Raw genomic sequence first — 22,459 nt, 5'->3', positions numbered from 1 at the left:
GGCCCTGGCTGTGGAAGCCAGGCTCCATTCTCTCCAGTTGGTTTCCCTCAGGTTCTCTTTCAGTGCTGAGGAAGTGAGAACAAGAAGGTGGTGGCGGCGGTAGCCACCCATGCTGGGCCTTCAAATAGCTGTTGCTTGGCCAGGCCTAGGGTCTGGTGTTGGGCTTTGCAAGATCAGGGACTGTCTGTCCTCAGAGATGCTAATCTGGCTCTCAGGAGTAAACTCCTACTAGCCAAAGTCATGGTGGCTAGATTGCTAAACCCAATGCTATCTTATCAACACACCTTGAACACTGCAGGAAGATTCACAAGCAGAGTTCCTGAATAAGGAAGGGATAGTACCACCCACAGTCTCTGTGCCAGCCTGCAGGGTCCACAAGTGCAGTCCCCCAGTCCTCCCTCCTCCCTGGCAGGCTGGATCCCCCAGTGCTTCTCTTCTTCTACATCCCACAGGGACCAGAACCTTCAGCAACAATGTTGCCTCAGAGGTACAGCAGTGTGGAGAGGGGCAGGGCTCATTTGATATGAGCCCAGGCTGGAGTGCAGTGGTGCAATCACCACTTACTGCTGCCTCCACCTCCCAGGCTCAAATGATCCTCCCACCTCAGCCTGAGCAGCAGGGACTACAAGTGCATGCCACCATGCCTGGCTAATTTTTTATTTTTTTAGAGACGGGGTCTCAGTATGTAGCCCAGGCTTCCATGGATATTTGTTATTTATTCTATCTCTTTGATAAAGTTAAAATAAGATACTTATCTCTTGATGAGTGTCTTGGCCAAAAACAATCTTTTAGGGGTTTAAAAAAAATGTTCCGGGTGGGTCAGCATCGAATTTTCCAACCATCTCTTCCAGAGGCTTCAAGAGGGAGGCAGACCAGGACTCACCTCCCAGACCTGCCATTTAATATTCGCGCAGTCTTGGGCAAGTGTTCTGACCTCTCTGCCCTGCAGCTCCCTTATCTGTAAACCAGACATGCTAACCGCACCACCTCACAGAGCTGTTGAAAGATGACATGAGAATGTGAGTCTAAAATGCTCGGTCTACTGGTGGGCACAGAAGTGATCAATAAAAGTTAAGCACCGGCAGGGTGTGGTGGCTCACGCCTGTAATCCCAGCACTTTGGGAGGCCGAGGCTAGCGGATCACCTGAGGCCAGGAGTTCGAGACTAGCCTGGCCAACAAGGTGAAACCCCGTCTCCACCAAAATTACAAAAAATTAGCTGGGCGTGATGGCACATGCCTATAATCCCAGCTACTAGGGAGGCTGAGGCAGGAGAAATTCTTGAACCTGGGAGGCGGAGGTTGCAGTGAGCCGAGATTGTGCCACTGCAGTCCAGCCTGGGTGACAGAGCGAGACTCCATCTCACAAAAAAAAAAAAAAAAAAAAAAGTTAAGTGCCTTCTACAAAGGGCTGAATTAATTCATTTTATGTTGATTATTATTAGTTTTAGTTCAGCAGGTGACGATTTCTGACCTTGTCCCCAAATTCTAGGAGGCTATACCCTGGCTACAACCGGGTGTTCCCTTTGCGGGTGGCACCTGCTTTCAGCCAGTTGGGGGCTAGAGGTGAAGAATGGCGGTTTCCAGCCTGGTGCTCATCCCTGCCCCCCAGTCTACTTCCTTCCACCTCGGTAGCCTCCAGGGCTCCCTGGGGAACAGGGAGAAGGTAGAAAGGGAGCTAAGAGCCACGGGTAAGGCAGACAACTCCCGGGGTGCCATGGGCCTAGGAAGGGAGGAAGGAGGGGGATTACCCAGGAGGGAGTGGAAGGAGATGAGAGGGAAGGAGGGGGGCGGCGGGTGGCAGGCCCCACTCCTGCACCTGCTGCTCTGAGAACAAAGCCAAGAATGATGCAATCCTGGCCTGGTGCAGCTGAGGCTGCAGGGCCCCGAGAGAGAAGTGGGTGTCAGGGGCGGGGAGGGCAGTGGGCAGCAGGGCAGGACGCCTGACCTTGATTCACAGCCAACGTGTGGCCCCTTCATGAGGACCCTCAGCCTCCTCCTGAAGCCCCTCACCCAGGGCCAGACCCCTCCCCAGTAGTCACAGCCACCTAATAGGCAGGAGTAGGGCATGATGCAACCAGGCCATCACTCCAGGCAGCCTCCTCAGAGGGAGGGGCATGAGGAGAGGCCCCATCCGGCTCTCAGGCCTCGGGCGGCCGGTCTCTGTCCGCACCCTCTCCATACTGGAGACAAAAAGGCAAAGTCCTCCGAGAAGGTGAGATGGGAAGGTTCAGGAGAGCCCTAACCCGGACCCTGCACAAAATAGTGCCTATTTATAGAATTAACTAGAACCCGCAGCAGACACGGACATGGTCCCGGGCCCCAGTCTCTCCCATGAGCAGCCATCAAGCAAGCGGGGGCGGGGTGCATGAACGTGGCATCCACCGTCCCCAGGTGTCCGCCTCGGCCCCCCAACTCTGCCCCGGAGCCAGGAGAACAAAGGCTTCTCGCTCTCCCTCCACCTGGAGGAGGGGGTCGTGTCCCACACACCAGGGCCAGGTGAGGGATGCCTCATGGGCCAGGGTCCCTGAAAGGGCAGGGCGTTTAATGGGCTAACAGAAGAGGACTGGAGACACCGTGTTTAGGAATATTTAAGTGCGGCCTCACCCCACCACCACCGAGGGGACCTGAGGGAACAGCAGGGTGGCTTAGCCCTGAGGAGCCACTAGGTGGCAGGAGAAGCCCAATGACTCACCCAGCTCTGCCCGCGGCCACCAGCAGCCTCCGGGCCCTTCCCCACCTGGAAGCTCCCTCCTCTCTTTTTCCCTACAGCCCGCTCCTCTGCGGCCTCCGGTAAGAGGAGCTTTTCATTCTTCCTCTGCCTTTGGCAAAAAGAATCTCAATCCTAGTTTTCAAAATACTGCTAACAGGGCCGGGCACAGTGGCTCACGCCTGTAATCCCAGCACTTTGGGAGGCCGAGGTGGGAGGATGGCTTGAGCCCAGAAGTTTGAAGTTGTAGTGAGCTACAATAGCGCTGTTGCACTCCAGCCTGGGTGATGGGCGAGACTCTTTCCCTCTCCCAGCAAAAAAAAAAAAAAAAAAAAAAAAAAAGCCCGCTAATAATAATGATCATGGGGCCAGGAACGGTGGCTCACGCCTGTAATCCCAGCACTTTGGAAGGTTGAGGCAGACGGATCACCTGAGGTCAGGAGTTCGAGACCAGCCTGGCCAACATGGTGAAACCTAGTCTCTACGAAAAATACAAAAATTAGCCAGGCGTGGTGGCAGACGCCTATAATCCCAGCTACTCAGGAGACTGAGGCAGGAGAATTGAACCCAGGAGGCAGAGGTTGCAGTGAGCTGAGATCTTGCCACTGCAATCCAGCCGGGGTGACAGAGAGATACCCTGTCTCAAAAATAATAATAATAATAATAATGATCATAATCAGTGCCGAGAGAGAGAGAGAGAGAGATGACACACATTTGAGACAGAGTCTCGCTGTGTTGCCCAGGCTGGAGTGCAATGGCACCATCACCATTCACTGTAGCCTGGACCTTCCAGGCTCAAGCGATCCTCTCACCTCAGCCTCCTGAGTAGCTGAAACTACAGGCGCACGCCACCATGCCCAGCTAATTTTTTACTGTTTATGAAGACAGGGTCTTGCTATGTCGCGCAGGCTTTTGTGGATATTTATTAAGTGCTCAAGATGTACCAGGCATTTTACACACATGTCTCATTTACTCACACATGAGGTAGGAAATAAAACTCAGGAGGAAACAGACCAAAAAAGCATAAAGTGCCCAAGATCACAAAACGAGCAGGCAGTAGAGCCGGGACTCAAACTTGGGTCAGCAAATCCTGGGCCAGGCCCTCCCCAGGAGTCTTAACAGGCAGGCAGGAGCATGGGAGGAAGCGAAGAGCCCGTGGATGCCCCTGAGATGTCTCATCTGCTATCCTCACCACCGCTCTCCCCCACAACCCCTTGAGATTCTAGGAGGGTGTCTTAGTCTTGGGAGTGAGATGTGAAAATGTTGTCTAAGTGATTCAAGCTCACAAAGCCTCTGCCCTGGCTGAGAACCACGGCACCATCCCCGAAGCCTCTCCGCCAGACTCCACAATGCATTCTGCGGTCTCCCCCACCAGCATTTGCTGAAAACAGTTCCCACATAAACTCCCATTCCAATATGGGAGCTCCCCGGTCCAGGCCCAAAGGTGATTCCAGCCTAGAAGACCTTTCCCCACTGCCACCTCCCTCCTGGCCTGGCTCTGCCTCTGACCTGCTCCATGGTTTTTGGCAAACATTCACAGGTATCCCTTCATGTGCTCGGCTGGGGGATGGGGGTCATCCCAGAAGATGAGCAAGACACAGAGCCCGCTCTCCACATGCAGTCGGCGTTTAACATGTCCAGAGCCGTATGGGATCCCAGTCAAAGACATATCTGCCCCGTATCCAGACAGGTTTTTCTTTGTTTTGAGACAGAGTTTTGCTCTGTCACCCAGGCTGGAGTGCAGTAGCTCAATCACAGCTCCCTGCAGCCTTGATCACCTGGGCTCAATCAATCCTCCTGCCTCAGTCTCTTAAATTGGTTGGGACTACAGGCACATGTCACCATGCCCAGCTAATTTTTTATTTTTTTTTCTTAGAGATGGGGTCTTGCCGGCCGGGCGCGGTGGCTCACGCCTGTAATCCCAGCACTTTGGGAGGCCGAGGTGGGTGGATCACGAGGTCAGGAGATCAAGACCATCCTGGCCAACATGGTGAAACCCCGTCTGTACTAAAAAAAAATACAAAAAATTAGCCAGGCGTGGTTGTGGGCATCTGTAGTCCTAGCTACTCGGGAGGCTGAGGCAGGAGAATGGCATGAACCCGGGAGGTGGAGCTTGCAGTGAGCCGACATCACGCCACTGCCCTCCAGCCTGGGTGACAGAGCGAGACTCCATCTCAAAAAAAAAAAAAAAAAAGAGATGGGGTCTTGCCATATTGCCTAGTCTGGTCTTGAGCTTCTGGGCTCAAGCAATGCTCCTGACTCTCTATTTTTTTTTTTTTTTTTGAGACCGAGTCTCCCTCTGTCACCCAGGCTGGAGTGCAGTGGCACGATCTCGGCTCACTGCAACCTCCGCCTCCCAGATTCAAGTGATTCTTCTGCCTCAGCCTCCTGATTAGCTGGGATTACAGGTGCCCACCACCACGCCCAGCTAATTTTTATATTTTTAGTAGAGATGGGGTTTCACCATGTTGGCCAGGCTGGTCTCAAACTCCTGACCTCAGGTGATCCACCTGCCTCTGCCTCCCAAAGAGCTGGGATTACAGGCATGAGCCACCATGCCTTCCCCATACTCCTGACTCTTAAAGTGCCGGGATTATAGGCGTGGGCTACTGCGCCGGACCCATATATCAGGTTTTTCAATACCAGGGCATGGGGAAGAAGAGGCACCAAGAGATGACACCCACTGCATAGTGAAACATCTTGACTTTATCGGTCTCACACACAGGACAGCTGTTGCCAAAGACCTTCCTACCCATTTCCAAACCTTCTCAATGTCCCCCAAGCTCAGCCATTACCATTTCCTCTTACTTTTCTCTCCCAGTATAAATCCAGCTAGCCTCTCCCGTTCTCCCATCATCCCTGGATCTGCAGAATAAGGGCCCAGAAATAAAATCAAGTTTCTCAGCAGTGCAGGGGCCAGGAAGCCAGGCCTTGACACCCACCCCCCACCCTGACCCTGATGAGATGAGAAACCTGGGATGTAAGCCTAGGATGTGAGAAGGGGGCCTGGGTTGAGCTCTCTTTAAATGCAGGGTTTCTGTTAAGTGATAACTCAGCAGGGAGTAGCAGGTGGCTCAGTGCAGTCTCTGGCCACTGGACAAAGCCAGCTGACCCTAGATCAGTGGCGTCTTCCATCCAAGAGCAGCGACAGCTCTGTCATCCTCTATGATGTCAAGAGGAAGCAGTCCACATCCCACCTCTGGAACATCTTGGGTTACCGCTGTATACTTCTGTCTTTCTTTCTCTTTCTTTCCCTCCCTCCCTCCCTCCCTTTCCTTCCTTCCTTCCTTCCTCTCTCTCTCCTCTCTCTCTTTTTACTTTTCTTTTTCTTTTTGGTCAGAGTCTCACTCTGTTGCCCAGGCTGGAGTGCAGTGTCACGATCTCAGCTCACTGCAACCTCCGCCTCCCGGGTTCAAGTGATCCTCTCCTGCCTCATCCTCCACACACAGGCATGTGCCACGATGCCCATCTAATTTTTTGTATTTTTTAGTAAAGACGAGGTTTCACCATGTTGACCAGGCTGGTCTCAAACTCCTGACCTCAGGTGATCCACCCACCTAGGCCTCCCAAAGTGCTGGAATTACAGGCGTGAGCCACCGCATCCACCTTGTATCACACCTTTCACACTCCTACTCCAACCATGAAAATTTCAGTCTCTTGAGAAAGTTTTGCAGAAGACTGACATTTGGGGCCGGGCACTGTGGCTCATGCCTGTAATCATAGCACTCTGAGAGGCTGAGGCAGGTGGATCACTTGAGGCCAGGAGCTAGAGACCAGCCTGGCCAACATGACAAAACCCAGTCTCTACTAAAAAATACAAAAATTAGCCGAGTATGGTGGCGCATGCCTGTAATCCCAGCTACTTTGGAGGCTGAGGCATGAGAATCACTTGAACCGGGGAGGCGGAGGTTGTAGTAAACTGAGATCGCGCCACTGCACTGCAGCCTGGGTGATAAAGCGAGACTCCATCTCAAAAAAAAAAAAAAAAAAAAAGAAGAAGAAGAAAAAGACTGGCATTTGGTGACTAAAAATCCCCACCTCTAAACAATCCAGTTGTCCAGTGTGAAAGGTGGAGATCCAGGTTCAAGGACTGGCTAACTAGAGGGGAGGGAATATTAGCAACATTCGTGGGAAGGGGGCTGATCTCATCTCCTCAACTTACCACCACCTTGGCACGGCCATTTAACTGTGCCAGGCCCTGGAAGTGGGGAGAGAGATGAATAGGACACTGTCCCTCGCAGAGGTCACAGTCGGAACAAGCAGGCAGAGATAGATGAACAAATGTCATAAGAGAGGAAAGAGCCATTTGTTTGTGGCTAGTGACAATTCCAATTCCACAGAGTGACCCTGGGGCAGGGCCCTGAAGAATGAGTTCAGCAGGTAAAGAGGGTGACAGGTAAGGGTCCTCCAGGCACAGGGTGAACCATGAGGGAAGGCAGAGTGGCAGGAGGGATGCCATGATTACAGGCTTCAGGTCACACATGTGACCAGACTGAAGCCTACGTGTCAGGGAAGGAAAAACAGCATTGGAAGGCAGGTTGATGGTCAAGATTTCAATGGGGATTTCTCTTGGTTGAAAGACATCAAAGACTGTAAACTAAAGAAATGACACCATTGGGCATGGTGGCTCATGCCTGAAATCTCAGCACTTTAGAGGCCAAGGTGGAGGATGCTTGAGCCCAGGAGTTCCAGACCAGCCTGGGCAACATAGTGAGACACTTGTCTCTACAAAAAGATTAATTAGCCAGGCATGTTGGCTTGTATCTTAGTCCCAGCTACTCAGAAGCCTGAGGTGGGAGGATTGCTTGAATCTGGGAGGTTAAGGCTGCAGTGAGCCAAGATTGAGCCACTGTACTCCAACCTGGGCAACACAGTGAGATCTTATAGAAGGACATTTTTTTTTTTTTTTGAGACAGAGTCTCACTCTTTCGCCCAGGCTGGAGTGCAGTGGCGCGATCTCTGCTCACTGCAAGCTCCGCCTCCCGGGTTCACGCCATTCTCCTGCCTCAGCCTCCCAAATAGCTGGGATTACAGGTGCCCGCCACCACGCCCGGCTAATTTTTTGTATTTTCAGTAGAGGCGGGGTTTCACCGTGTTAGCCAGGATGGTCTCGATCTCCTCCTGACCTCGTGATCCGCCTGCCTCGGCCTCCCAAAGTGCTGGGATTACAGGCGTGAGCCACCGCGCCCGGCCAGAAGGACATTTTGAAGGACTAGAGAGGAGAAACAGAAGCAGGAAGACCAGTTGAAATTGTCCAGGTTCACGAAGGAGAATGCCTAATGAGGACATGGCAATAGACGGATGGTGAAATCATAGCTTCAATGGGGATGTGTGCAGCAGAGGAAGCTGCAAAATTCCTCTCAAAAACCCCTTGCGGAGGGGCTCCATTAGGGATCAGCTAGTGCCTCTCCTGAGCTGGAGTCAACTCTTGTGCCTTTGGCTGAGCACCAGTGAAAACAGTTGGTCTTCAGAATCCACGTAGTACAAATATGCACTGGAATCCTTATACGCGAGATGCTCACACTATGAGAGGCTGGAGGGAACCAAGAGACATAAAACTTACTGTTCCCATCTCACCTTCAATCGGGGGGGCACACAATGGAATGAATGAGGAATCTCCGGCACTATTACTTGCCAAGTGCTTATCATTGAATTCAAGTAAGTATGTGCGTGAGAAGACTCCATTGCAGTGGTTTGATGGAACAGCCTTTGTGATGAGGAGATGAAGCAGGTAGTTTCAGGTTTGGAGGTGAAGACAGTGGGAAGGGGTTTTATTTGGGGCCCATTGTTTCCAAAAGAATGCTAGGCTGGGCACAGTGGCTCATGCCTATAATCTCAGTGCTTTGAGAGGCCAAGGAGGGAAAATTGCCTGAGGCCAGGAATTCAAGGCTGGAGTGAGCTATGATCGTGACACTGCCCTTCAGCCTGGGCATCATAGCGAGACTCTTTCTCTACCAAAATTTAAAAAAAAAGTTTTTAAGTTAGCCAGACGTAGTGGCACATGCAGCCCACCTACTCAGGCGGCTGAGGCGGGAAGTCAATGCAACTGGTCACCCAAGAGCTCTGATGGAGCTGCACAAGGAGATGAGTGTTGTTTTTGTGACTGCTAACACAACATCCATTCTGCAGCTGATGGATCAAGGAGTAATTTCGACTTTCAAGTCTTATTTATTTTTCGGAGATGGAGTCTCTCTCTCTCTGTTGCCCAGGCTGGAGTGCAATGGTGTGATCTCGGCTCCCTGCAACCTCCGCCTCCTGGGTTCAAGTGATTCTCATGCTTCAGCCTCCCAAGTAGCTGGAATTACCAGCATGCATCACCACACCCGGCTTATTTTTGTATTTTTAGTACAGATGGGGTTTCATCATGTTGCCCAGGCTGGTCTTGAACTCCTGACCTCAGGTGATCCACCCACCTCGGCCTCCCAAAATGCTGGGATTACAGGCATGAGCCACCGCGCCCAGCCCCAGCTTTTTTTTTTTTTTTTTTTTTTTGAGGCGGAGTCTTGCTCTGTTTCCTAGGCTGGAGTGCAGTGGTGGTGTGATCCTGGCTCACTGCAACAGCCTCCTGAGTAGCTGGGATTACAGGTGTGTGCCACCACACCCAGATAATTTTTGCATTTTTAGTAGAGACGGGGTTTCACCATGTTGCCCAGGCTGGTCTTGAACTCCTGACCTCAGGTGACCCGCCCACCTTGGCCTCCCAAAGTGCTGGGATCACAGGCGTGAGACACTCCACCTGGCCCTCAAGTTTTACTATTTAAGAAATACAATCATGCCAGGCGCGGAGGCTCATGCCTGTAATCCCAACACTTTGGGAGACCAAGGCGGGCAGATCACGAGGTCAGGAGATGGAGACCATCCTGGCTAACACGGTGAAACGCCGTCTCTACTAAAAATACAAAAAATTATCCGGGCGTGGTGGCAGGCTCCTGTAGTCCCAGCTACTCAGGAGGCTGAGGCAGCAGAATCGCTTGAACCGGGGAGGCGGAGGTTGCAATGAACCGAGATCACACCACTGCACTCCAGCCTGGGTGACAGAGTCTCACTCTGTCTCCAAAAAAAAAAAAAAAAAAAAAAAAAAGGGAAATACATTCATAAGGCTGTAGCTGCCATAGTGATTCCTCTGATGGATCTGGGCAATGCAAATTAAAAACCTTTTGGAAAGGACTTGCCATTTTAGATGCCATTAAGAATATTCGTGTCACGCACGGTGGCTCACAATTGTAATCCCAGCATTTTGCGAGGCTAAGGCGGGTGGATCGCCTGAGATCAGGAGTTCAAGACCAGCCTGGCCAACATGGTGAAACCAGGTCTGTACTAAAAATACAAAAATTAGCCAGGCATGGTGATGCACACCTGAAATCCCAGCTACTCGGGAGGCTGAGGCAGGAGAATCGCTTGAACCCAGGAGGCGCAGGTTGCAGTGAGCCGAGATCATGCCATTGCACTCCAGCCTGGGTGACAGAGTGAGACTCCATTTCCAAAAAACAAAGATCATTCATGATTCATGGGAGGAGGTCACAGTATCAACATGAACAGGAGTTTGAAAGAAGTTAATTCCACGAAAATGGAAGTTAATTCCACGAAGAAGTTAATTCCCCTATGAGGGGGTTCAAGACTTCAGTGGAGGAAGTAACTGCAGATGTGGTGGTAATAGCATAACTAGAATTAGAAGTGGAGCCTTGAAGATGTGACTGAATTGCTACAATTTTATGATAAAACTTAAACAGATGGGAGTTGCTTTTTTTTAAGGGACAAGACTGGGTCTTGCTTTGCTGCCCAGGCTGGCCTTAAACTCCTAGGCTCAAGGGATCCTCCTGCCTTGGCCTCCTGAGTAGCTGGGGCTACAGGTGCGTACCATCACACCTGTCTGGAGTTACTGCTTATGGATGAGCAAAGAAAGTAGTCTCTTAAGATAGAATCTACTCCTGGTGAAGATGCCGTGAACTTTGTTGAAATGACAACAAAGGACTGAGAATGTTACATGAACCTAGTTGATGAAGCAGTAGCAGGATTTGAGAGGGCTGACTCCAATTTCGAAAGGAGTTCTACTGTGTGGAAATGCTATCAAACAGCATCACATGCTACAGAGAAATCTTTTTTGAAAATAAGAGTCAAATCAATGCAGCAAACCTTATTGGTGATCTTAAGAAATTGCCACAGTAGGCCAGGCGCGGTGGCTCACGCCTGTAATCCCAGCACTTTTGGAGGCGGAGGCGGGCAGATCACGAGGTCAGGAGATTGAGACCATCCTGGCTAACACAGTGAAACCCTGTCTCTACTAAAAATACAAAAAAATTAGCTGGGCGTGGTGGTGGGCGCCTGTAGTCCCAGCTACTCGGGAGGCTGAGGCAGAAGAATGACGTGAACCTGGGAGGCGGAGCTTGCAGTGAGCCGAGATCGCACCACTGCACTCCAGCCTGAGCGACAGAGCAAGACTCCGTCTCAAAAAAAAAGAACAAGAAATTGCCGCAGCCACCCCAACCTTCAGCAACTGCCACTCTAACCCATCAGGAGCCATCAACATCGTGGTAAGATGCTTCATAAGTGAAAAGATTACAATTTGCTGAAGGCCCAGATGATCGTGTTTTTTAGCAATAAAGTATTTTTAAATTATGCACATTATTTTTTAAGATTACACACTTACAACAGCATAGTGTAAACATAACTTTTATATGCACTGGGAAACCAAAAAATTTGTGCAACTTGCTTTATTGTGATGTTCACTTTATTGCGGTTGTCTGGAATGGAACCCACAAAATCCCCGGGATATGCCGATACACACGTTGTCAACCAGAGGAACAACTTAGTCCCTTTCTCTCCGAAGAGCACAGCTTAAGCAATAGTAGGCTAGAAAGGCAGCAGGAGGGCTATGGGTTGAACTTAGGAAAAACCTTGGTGCCAGCCACAGGGAATACTAGGAATGACTGCTATGGTAAATATGAACTCTCCTTAGGTAGAGCCCCACGCCAATGCTCACCAAGACAAAAAGGCCACGGGCACTCAGCCCCAGAAAGCTCTCGGGAATGCTCCTACACTTCCTAGGGAAGGAGAAGGTAGCTCTGAGCAGTGGCCATCAGCCTCAGGGATTTTTCAGCACCTCTAATTCTGACAAGCCTAGTGCTGGGTGCACTCTGCTTGGCTGACATCACAGGGATCACCCATTCCCCAGGGCTGGGTCATCAGATCCTATTGGGGCATGTCAGGAGTCACATGAGATGGGAGAGGGAGTGAAAAACACCAAACCAAAGAACATGAAATAATTTCTAAACATTTTTATTTCAAATCTCTTTTCACCCCTCCCCAAAAAGACATGGGTAGGTACAGCAATCATAAAAAGGAGATACAAACACAAGAGTCAAATGTCTCTCGCACTGACACTTACAAAAAACTGGGAATTGTACATGGGGTTTCCAAACAGGACCTGCAGCAGCTACTAACGTCCCTTTACGAGAGTCAAACATGCCTATTAATACAGTATATACAGACACCCCATTCTGGAACTAATCTACAGGGACATCCCTAACCCCACCCCCTCTATCCCCAGAAAAATACCAAAACACACCCAAAGTGCATTTGTTTTGTTTATATCAAAACCTCTTTCCCTTTCCCCATCCCACCCTCAGACCCCTCCCACCCCATTTAAGATTGGCCTGCAAGTCTATTTTAACCATTTAGTATTTTTTTATAGTTTATGAAAATAAATTATACAGCAACTATTTTAATAAATTAAGCACAAAAGGAAGGGTAAAAGAGGAAAACTAAATGGGAAGACAAAAGCCAGGCCACGCTTTGGCTTGGAGGAGGGCAGAGGGGGGGCTAACGGAGACAGAAGTGGTTGCAAGGGGTGGCTCCCTTTCTGGTGAAAAATTGGCAACCACCCCGAGCCCAGAATGACACCCCTCTTCATCGAGTTTCTTAAAAACAACCAAAAACGTACAGCAGTGGCTATGCCACAGGCAGCACCAGTGTGGGCATTCCAACAGCCAGCTACCCAAAGTGGCACCTGGACCCTACCTGTCCCTTGGACAGGTTCTGGGCCTAAGAGTGAGGGACAGGTCCCCGCCCAAGGGAGCACCAGAGATGGAGGAGTGAGAGCAGGCTTCTGCTCCACCTGAGCTGGTTAGGGAGCTCAGGACGAAACTCTGAGCGGGGCAGTGTGGTATGTGATGATCCCAGAGTCTGAGGAAGAGTGTCCTAAGTTCCTCACACTCTATCTCCAGGAGGAACTACGATCGCAGTCCAGCTGCAACCAAACATGCATGTCTTCCCGCCGTGGCTGGCTGCTTTCTGTCTGCCCCTCCAGGCCTCTTGGTGTTGCAGAGGAGGGGGTAGGAGAGGGAAAGGGAACGGTTCCAGGTCACCTCTAAACCCTCTAGAAATGAAATGGGAATGAAGCAGGTCACAAACTCAGCATGCAGGGCTGGCTTCCCGGGAGGTAGATGGGAGTGGGACGGGATAGCAGGTGTGGAGAGGACAGGAAGGGAAACAGGAAGAAACTGAGCGACACCTGCCAGGAAGGTCAAGAAGCAATGAAAAGGACAAAGACAATATGAAATCTGCATGAAAAGACAGGTCCTTTTCTGGCAGATTAGAGAATCAACATTTTCAGTACAACTCATAACGCTACTTTCCTAACTGCAGTACCCGAGTCCCCAGCGCCTGTCTCTATGATCCAACCCCCATTTCACTGCTCCCAAGACTTTGCTCTCCATTTTATCAAGGCCTCCAATCATTTTGTGCTGAGTGTGAAGGCTCCAATGTGAAAGCAGGGTCTACCACAGGGACGTGCAGACTTGACCTTTGTGACCCAATCATTTTATAGCTATCGCAGCATAGGAGGGGGGCACACTTTTCTTTCTTTTTTTTTTCTTTTTCTTTTTTTAATAAAAAAGGTTTTACTCCCCAGGAGCAAATAAATCATTTTGAACTACTGATAAACACTGCTGCAGTGAAAAGAAAGATGGCTACATGTATGCAATAGCACAAATTCAGTGGAAGAACAGCTGTGTTGACGATTAGAGATAAAAATCACTTATCCATTCCCTCCTTTCCCACAAACCAAACCGAGGATTCCCATAGGGAAAATGTCTAACTCAATAGCTCCTCCCTTACATGACAGGGGGTGTGTCATTCTCTTAACAGTGGAAAACAAATGCCAGGTCTCCGCCCAGTGGAGATGCTCTTAACACCCTAACTGGTAGCAAGACTTCTGCAAATGAGGACACACACACACACACACATGCATGCATATGCACACACACAGACTCAGACCTCCTTCCAGCAGCCATAGAGCTTTATCCCAGTGTCTTGTCCACTAACTTTAGGGCTCCAAAGCTAAGGGAGCGAGGCAGCAGGGAAGGGAAAGATCTAACTGAAGGAAAAAGCTCCTCCTCGCCCCAGTTTCTGCAGGGAGCAGAGGGCTTCAAGCAGGCCATGCTTTCCTGGGGGCCCTGGGGTGAGGGCTGACACGGCTGGATTCCAGGGCACTTCTGGTTCTACTCCCACCTCTCACCCCTAGACCTAGGAACTATAATTACCCCCACTCCCTAATTCTTCCTGGATGTCTGTTACAGGGGTGTCTGCAGCTATCTCCACACCATCCCCAACCTCAAGGGGGGCTTACATCATTAGCCCAAGTGAAATGTAGGGAAGGGGAAGGAGCAGGAGCCATGCAGGAGTTTCCTTTGGCCACACCTTTCTCCTCAGGGAGGTGGCGCCACCTCCATGGCTCAGGTTCCAAGATGTAACATTCACTTGGCCTAGGCACAGGCAGGTGACCAGGCAAAGGTCAGCACCAATGGTCCCAAAGAGCCGGTTGCCACCCACTTACCTAGTGCCCACACCAAAACCCCCGCCCGCCTACTCCTGTGCTACCAACATAGCACACGAATTTCAAGTAACAGCAAGTTGTAGCAGTAGTTGTCACTGGCTCACAGCAGCTCACTCTCAACCTGAGGAAGGTTACAGTAGATCAGTCATAAACAGGTGAGGGTTATGCAGGCACTGAGGCCACTGATATCACCCACCCACAACTTAGGAATCAACAGTGGGTCCCTAGATGTAAGCCTTTTCCAATTTGTGACTTGAAAATACAACCAGAAAGAAATTATTTATTTTTTTTGAGATGGAGTCTCACTCTGTCGTCTAGGCTAGAGGGCAGTGGCGCAATCTCGGCTCAGTGCAACCTCCGCCTCCTGGGTTCAAGCAATTCTCCTGTCTCAGCCTCCCAAGTAGCTGGGACTACAGGCGCATGCCACCATGCCCAGCTAATTTTTGTATTTTAGTAGAGATAGGGTTTCACTGTTTGGCCAAGCTGGTCTTGAACTCCCGACCTCATGATCCACCCACCTCAGCCTCCCAAAGTGCTGGGATTACAGGCGTGAGCCACCGCGCCCAGACCTAGAAAGGAATACATTTAAATGAGCTCTGCACAGCACTGGCGAAGGAGGGACGGGCCTGGTCAGGGAGGTGAAGGGCAGGTGCTGCCACACCTGCTCCTCTGCTCCATTTACTCTCTGACCAGGCTGTATCCCAGAGAGCTGGCCCAGCCCCATGCCTCCCCCTCATCTTCCCCTAACTGCTCTGTGCAAGGCCACCCATGCAGGCACCAAACACCCACACCTGACGAAGACTGTCTCCTCTTGCGCTGCTGTTTTGCAGCCCACTCCACAGAGAAAGGACTAGGCTGCGGCCAGGGCTGGGACCAGTGCACTGACACAGACACAGTTCAACACGACACTCCCCAGGAGGAGAAAGGTGGGTGGTGAGGTTGGGTCACACCTCCTCAGTTGGTTTGTTTTGTACCTGAATGTATGAGTTCTCCAGAAGAAACCCCAGTAACACAGGGGGTGCAGAGGCTCTGCCTCCCTCACATGGCCTGAGCTGACCATAGTGAGGCCCTGGCAATGGGCAGGAGCCTTGCTGACTCCTTTGGGCTTTGGGCTCCACCTCACCATCATAACCCCTTGGCACTCAGGTCTGCCTGGTGGCTGGGAAGCTTCCATCTAGAAAACCGCACTGGAAAGGATTCTTTAACCATGTTGCTCTAACAGGGCTGTGCACTGTTCAGTACATGCCATGCAGATTTCTGCTTCCTTGCTTTTGCTCATGTGTTTTTCATCTCACTGTCTGTCCTGCCATTGACTACAACCCAAAGCCTCAGAGGCACAGAACTTTCCCAGACCATCTGGTCTACCCTGATCTTATCTACTATAAACGTCTTTAGATAGTCCTTGATTTTCTGCTTGATGTGCAGCAGTCACCTAAAAGCTCCCTTAGGCCACATATTACGTCTTTTACCTTTTTTGTTTTCTACAATATCTAGCGCAAAGCCAGGCACACACACACTAAAAAATAATATTAAAATTATGGGTGGTTGAAAAGGAACAAAAAAAAGAAAGATCCCAGGCTGTATATCAGCCACCCAAGGATCTCAACAGATTCCAACTTCAGGCTCTATATTGGGGTGGCACTTCCTGCAAGATGGCGAGTTATATTACTTGTACTCTCACGAGGCAACACTCACATGCTAAGCCAATTTCTGGGATCACAATCTTGCTTAGTTGATAATACTACCATGGAAGCCAAGGAAAGAAGAGGTACCACATGACAAATCAGAGGTGGGCTGTGTTTATGGTGCACAGCTCATCTTGTGGGCCACCCTTCCACAGTCAGGTAATGGTGCAAGTTTCCTCCCTGTTCAGCTACAAGGAGGAAGACTGGTCACTCCACGTGGGACTAAGGAAGAAGGCAATGCTCCCAGATGAGGCAGTCCTATAAATTACCAGGACACTGGGGCCCCACCCAAACCATCAGGAAGCCACAAACCTGACATTAGTATCTGTCTTGTGACACGAGGCAACTATAAGCATGGGGAACCCAGAAAGAGAGTCCCATGGAACACACGCAAAGGAGTCATGAAGACCCAACAGCTCCACTGTTACATCTCAATAGCAAACCTCTCCCCAGAGCAGCTCTATAAGAAAGCAAACTCACAATGTCATATGAATTGGCCATGGCCAGCTGCAGAAACCATTAAAGACCATTGGAGTTTTTCTCCCCGCTCCTCCTGAAAGCAGGGACAGGCAGCTCTCAAATCGGCATCTGGCAGACTTTCCAGTGAGTGGAGACCAGCAGGATCTGATCCGGAAATGTCTGGGTTGCTAGAATGAACACAAGAAAATACAGAAGCCCTTGCTACCTCCCATCCCAGAAGTGGGATGGCAGTGATAAACCTAAAAACGTGAGATGCGATGCTCTCCTCTGACCTAAGGAAATCCCGTGAGGGCTGCGTTCTGAGAGCTTCCTCTAGGAAGAGCACAACTGTGGGAGCTGTATTTCTCACCTTCCTCCACATTCCCCCTCACAAGCTGACAGGCACATGGAAGTAACACTCACTCCTAAGTCATGAGTACAGTTTGCCATGAAGAACCTGGAAACATGCTCCATTAAATTCAGCAGCCCATGACTGGCTCTGAACCGCCCAGGTGATGGGAAACACGATTGCCATGACAGCTGGCAGAAGCAATAGGGATGCTGTTACCATGATCAGAGTGACATGTACAGTTATCTCAAGGGGCAATGGGTTGAGAGCAGAGGAAGAACGGGGTTAACTTCAGGTCATGGAACTTAAGGAATTAAGTAAATCACAACTAGTACAGCTTCCATGAGAGGTGTTTCTGAACTCAGGTTCCTAAACCTTAAAAAAGGATGCAGGAGTCACTACTTCTCCCAGCTAAGGCCAATTGGCTAGGTTTTGCCCAATATTCTTTTCGAGACCACCCACCCTCCTTTCTCTCCTGCTCCTACAACAGCTGCCCATGGCAACAAGAGGCAGATTCCCCCTTCCTCAGGAACTCCCAGTCCTTTGCAAACCTCAAGCCCCTCCTCCCATCTTCCAGGCCCACAGCACAGACTCTAACTCTGCCTTTGGCACCAGCTGAATGGCCGTCCCCTGTTCCCTCCTCCCACCCCTTCTTTGGACCTGCTCACCCTTCGCACCACTTTCAATCCAACGGGCACAAACCCCAACTGCCTTCAAGGTGAGTTTTCCATACCAAGTAATATAAATATCAAAAACAAAACTTCTGAAAAAGAAACAGTGTTGAGACTTCTTCCAGTTTTCCAAGGAGCCCCTCCAGTCCTAAGATGCCCAGGGGTGGGTGTGAGGTGGAGCCCCACGCAGAGTACGGTCATGTGCTTCTTCCAAGCCCCAGGGCTGCGTGGGGAACCAAAGTCTCTGCACAGAGAATCCCAACCTTCCTGTTCCCTCACTTTTCCTCTTCTTTTCATGGTAGCTTAATTTGGTTCTTCAAAGCTGGAGCTTGGCAACCAAATGCCTAGGTAGAAAAGGAAAAAAAATTAAAACAGTTCAACAGAATAGAACCAAAATGGAGTGAAATAACAGCCAGCCACTGGAGGTGGAGCAGCACACCTCAAAAGGAGAACGGAGCCTGGAGAGCTGAACGCTTCCATGAGGGCCACATGTGACTAGGGATGCAGCAGTGGCCTTTGTCAGGGGGACCTGAGCAGCCTATGACTTGGATGACAAAACAAGGTCCTGAAATAACTAATAAATACATCCTACCACATTGCATAAATTCTCTCTTTCCCTTTCCCTTACCCCTTCATTTCCTACCCATTTTTTCCCTGAGGCTCAATTGCTCTAGGGACTGAAAAGGGAAGTAAGCCCCTGGAGTAACCCCTTTTGAACCTGGCAAGAAAGAGCTCTATATTTCTTTCTTTCTTTTTTTTTTTTTTTTTTGAGACGGAGTCTCGCTCTGTCACCCAGGCTGGAGTGCAAAGGCATGATCTTGGCTCACTGCAATCTCCACTTCCTGGGTTCAAGATTCTCCTGTCTCAGCCTCCCAAGTAGCTGGGATTACAGGCATGCGCCACCATGCCTGGCTAATTTTGTATTTTTAGTAGAGACAGGGTTTCACCATGTTGGCCAGGCTGGTCTCAAACTCCTGACCTCGTGATGAGCCCGCCTTGGCCTCCCAAACTGCTGGGATTACAGACGTGAACCATCACACCTGGCCAGAGAGCTCTGTATTTCTGCAGCTTCTGTCAACTGGACAGGGTTGACACAGAAACACAAAGGCCACTGTTGCTTCCACCTTCCGACTTGAGACAGGCACTGTTCTAGCCATTACTCTATAGTCTGACTCCAAACCCCCTGGCATGAAATTCCCCAGGTAACAGCACACATAGACCAAGCAGGCCATTCAGAACTCCCAAATTAAAATCAGCCTGAACAACAAGAAGTCATAAAGGCCAAATTTCATACCCTAAAGACCTTTCCCAATGGGGCACAGTGGCTCATGCCTGTAATCCCAGAACTTTGGGAGGCCAAGGTGGGTGGATCACTTGAGTGAGGTCAGGAGTTTGAGACCCAACTGACAAACGTGGTGAAACCCAGTCTACTAAAAATACAAAATTAGCCAGGCGTGGTGGTGCACACCTGTAATCCCAGCCTCCCACTGGGAGGCTGAGGTGGGAGAATTGCTTGAACCCGGGAGATGGAGGTTGCAGTGAGCCAAGATCACGCCATTGCACTCCAGCCCGGGCAACAAGAGCGAAACTCCATCTCAAAAAAAAAAAAAAAAAAGACCTTTCCCTTGGGAAGTGTTACTTCCTCCCTTTCCAGGGCTCCTAGGGTCTACACCAGGAGCAAGTTCAGCATTACGCTTACTCTTTGTCACAGGCATCAATACTGATGTCACAGCAAAAAGGGATCCTGGGAGTTCAGTTCAAACCTTCGCCAATATATGACTGCCCCCAACACTCAAGACAAATGGCTACCCACTGGCCTGTTCCTGATCATGCCACGTCCTTCCCAGCTGAGGCAGGGCCTTTATACCTCTAGGTCCCCTTGCCCAGAATGCTCTGCTCCAAGGCACTCCCATGGCTGGCTCCTTGATATTTGGGTATCGGCTGAAATGGCACCTCCTCACAAGTCTCTCCCTGACCATCTAAACTTGAGGAGTATCCCACCACTAATCACTAAACTTTACCCAGTTTTACTTTCCTCACAACACTGTACAGTCACCTGAAATTAGCCCATTCATTTATGTTCATGTTTGCTGCCTGTCTTTCCTTAGGAGAAGGGAAGCTGAGTGAAAACAGGGCCTTTGCTTTGCTCAGCACTCTATTCTCAATTCATACTGGGTGCCAAATAAACACAAATATACAGCTATCTGCTGAATGGAAGCTCTTGAGGAAAACCATCCCAGTTTTGGACCTCTCTGTTAAAAAGGTTCTTGTAAAGTTGGACTGAAATCTAGTTCCTTGTAACTTACATTCATTTTGGTCCTTATCCATGTCTCTTTTTGCTGTGACATGGGAGGGCCTTGGGGCAGAGCATTCTGGGCAAGGGGACCTAGAGGTATAAAGGCCCTGCCTCAACTGGGAAAGGTGTGGCATGATCAGGAACAGGCCGGCAGGGAGCCACTTGTCTTGAGTGTTGGGAGCAGTCATGCACTGGCAAAGGTTTGAACTGAACTCTCAGGATCTCTTTTTGCTGTGACATCAGGATTGTTGCCTGTGGCAAAGAATAAGCGTAATGCTGAACTTGCTCCCCACTGGAACCACAGAGAGGAGGTTAATCACTCTCTTCCTTAGGAAAACCCATCAAATGCATCTTTCAGCTATCCCTCCCTAAAACCTCCGTGCTCTGGGTTAATCACATTTCTTTCTAGGCCATTTATTCCCATATGATGAAGTTTGAGCTCTCCAATGCCACAAGGCCTTTCTCTGAACATGCTCCCTGTTTATATGGGTTCTTCTACAGCACTGCACCCACAGACGTGGTCCTCTAACTGAATGGCCTAATTACTCTTCAAGGGTAGTCAGGTAGGTGGACCTCCCTAGTGCTCTACCTCTCACCCTAATCTCAACTGCAAAGCCATCATGCAGAGAAATCCACCTAGACACAAGACATTAGATATTTAGTCATTTCCAAAGGCATACAATTTGCATATAATTGAAGACATGATGAGACTGTACATCTACTCCAGGATCCACACCAGAAGAAAGCAGTCACTGCACACTGGCAGTCAATCTTGCTTGTCACCACCACCACCAAAGTCATGGCTCCCTGGCAATTGTGTTCCCTACTCAGGAACTTGGCCCCACAATGTTCACTTTAGTGCAATTTAAAAGACTAATTGGAATTCATCTGCACAAACCAGTATTGCAAGATGTTTTATGGGAAAATAAATGGGTAGAACTGTGTAATGATGGGAGAAGAGCCTCGTAGATAAATGAATTCCTTAGTTTCAACAATTTACTTTGTAATGGCCCAAATGGAACGCTAAATAGAAGAGTGGGCTGTTTTTCCTCATCCCCATATTCCAAGCTGTGGGACATGGTGGAGTCTCACTGAAGTGCATGCCTGTTGCAATTAAAGGCATGTTTGCATTCTCTTTGATGAAGTTTCCTTTCCCTTTAGCTTCCTGCTTTATATGCCATTTGTGCAGTATCAGGGAGATCAGCCCAAGTCTGTATGAGAGGAGGCTGCACTCTTCTTCTTATTTTTTTCAATTACCCTCTCCTTGCCAGAGGCCGCACTCTTAGCTACACTTGGGTGTCCCCCTCCTTGCTCACATTCAGTGATTAGCTTGCACGTTTCCTGGCAATCTACTTTCTTGTCTTTCTCGTCTGTCTGCTTTTCTCCCAAATGGGGTGTGTGCCCCTTGAGGACTCCACGGTCAGATCTTGTCATTCTATGGGCAAATGCCTGGATCGGGGCTATCCATGTTGGGAGTTGTGGGGAGGGGGCCCAAGGCTCAATGCATGATGATGACTGCCCAGGAAGAAATGTGGCTGGGCAGTGAGGCAGAGAGCTCATACCCTTGGTGGTGACCAGCAGGGAGCCCCTCGCTACGTGGAGGGTTCCACCTCTTGCTTCTGTTTGGAAATGAGCTGCGCTTCCTTTAGAGACAGGTATACCTCTTCCTGAGGATCATAGTAGTAGAACTTTCGGATATAAGAGATCAGAGGTCTGTGAAAAACAAATGACGGATATACACAAAAGGTTTTTATACAAAATATAAAAGAAGTAACTCCTTTGTTCAACTCTTCTTCACTCCCTACATGGTTGAGACCTAACACAATCCCCATTTTCTCAGTTATTATAGTTCTGTCTTCCTTACTCTTACCACTTCTACTCTATTCTTCCTAGAGACTGCAGAAGGAAGGCTGACACACACACCTTCCTCCCTCTGGCTGCAATATGACAGTTCTAGAGTTAGGTGCTAAGACACAGGAAATGTGTAAGAATGACATCTGCAAATATTTTATGCCAGACTCTGCCTGTGAAGGTAGCTTGCAGGCCTCACTGACATTGTTACCTCCCCACAACCCCCTTACTCATTCCTGTCCCAAACCTGACAACCCCATTGTACTTAGGCAGTGGGAGATCTGGGATGTGATCTATCCTGACGAGCTGTCGTATCCGGAATCTGCAAAGGTGCTGGAGGGATTTGACATTGCTGAATCGGGACACTGGATAGAGCAGCTGGACAGGAGTTGGTGGCAGTCCTTCAAGAAAGAAAACAAAGGAAAGTATTCAGAGGAAACAATGGAGCTAACTACCATTTCTTGTATGAAGAGAACCTAGGGAGGGGAAATGGGACTTCTTTATGGTTCATATATGTATTCTGTGCAAAAGCCCCTCCACAAAGTGCTGTTGATTTCCATTTCCAGAAGCACCACCACCACATTCACAATTAAGGAAATCCATTCTC

At 49.7% G+C, this 22,459-nt stretch overlaps 1 protein-coding gene across 3 annotated transcripts in view, besides 5 other annotated features; it reads right to left on the bottom strand.

Moving 5' to 3' along the window:
- Positions 921-1,855: an enhancer, noted in NCBI's record as "NANOG-H3K27ac-H3K4me1 hESC enhancer chr17:36571950-36572884 (GRCh37/hg19 assembly coordinates)". NCBI's record gives its function as "activates a minimal SCP1, AML or CMV promoter by ChIP-STARR-seq in primed H9 embryonic stem cells {active_cell/tissue: H9 hESC(primed)}" and the evidence as "EXISTENCE:reporter gene assay evidence [ECO:0000049][PMID:30033119]".
- Positions 921-2,791: a biological region, named in NCBI's record as "NANOG-H3K27ac-H3K4me1 hESC enhancers GRCh37_chr17:36571014-36571949 and GRCh37_chr17:36571950-36572884".
- Positions 1,682-1,976: an enhancer, noted in NCBI's record as "tiled region #681; HepG2 Activating DNase unmatched - State 1:Tss, and K562 Activating non-DNase unmatched - State 5:Enh". NCBI's record gives its function as "activates a minimal TATA promoter and a strong SV40 promoter by Sharpr-MPRA in HepG2 cells, with weaker activation in K562 cells {active_cell/tissue: HepG2 | K562}" and the evidence as "EXISTENCE:reporter gene assay evidence [ECO:0000049][PMID:27701403]".
- Positions 1,856-2,791: an enhancer, noted in NCBI's record as "NANOG-H3K27ac-H3K4me1 hESC enhancer chr17:36571014-36571949 (GRCh37/hg19 assembly coordinates)". NCBI's record gives its function as "activates a minimal SCP1, AML or CMV promoter by ChIP-STARR-seq in primed H9 embryonic stem cells {active_cell/tissue: H9 hESC(primed)}" and the evidence as "EXISTENCE:reporter gene assay evidence [ECO:0000049][PMID:30033119]".
- Positions 2,792-3,726: an enhancer, noted in NCBI's record as "NANOG-H3K27ac-H3K4me1 hESC enhancer chr17:36570079-36571013 (GRCh37/hg19 assembly coordinates)". NCBI's record gives its function as "activates a minimal SCP1, AML or CMV promoter by ChIP-STARR-seq in naive H9 embryonic stem cells {active_cell/tissue: H9 hESC(naive)}" and the evidence as "EXISTENCE:reporter gene assay evidence [ECO:0000049][PMID:30033119]".
- SOCS7 (suppressor of cytokine signaling 7) overlaps positions 11,969-22,459 on the bottom strand; it is a 53,750-nt gene continuing 43,259 nt past the window's right edge. For all 3 annotated transcript variants that reach the window (NM_014598.4, XM_017024551.2, XM_017024552.2), the window contains 3 exons: positions 22,118-22,253; positions 21,564-21,714; positions 11,969-18,049 (listed from right to left, as the gene is read on the bottom strand). In NM_014598.4, the coding sequence (NP_055413.2) occupies positions 21,594-21,714; positions 22,118-22,253 (257 nt within the window). In that variant the 3' untranslated portion in view covers positions 11,969-18,049; positions 21,564-21,593. The remainder of the gene's footprint in view (positions 18,050-21,563; positions 21,715-22,117; positions 22,254-22,459) is intronic.

This window comes from Homo sapiens, chromosome 17 (genome assembly GCF_000001405.40).
Source record: "Homo sapiens chromosome 17, GRCh38.p14 Primary Assembly".
NCBI classification, from domain to species: Eukaryota; Metazoa; Chordata; class Mammalia; order Primates; family Hominidae; genus Homo; species Homo sapiens.
This window is presented reverse-complemented; position numbering and strand designations above follow the sequence as displayed.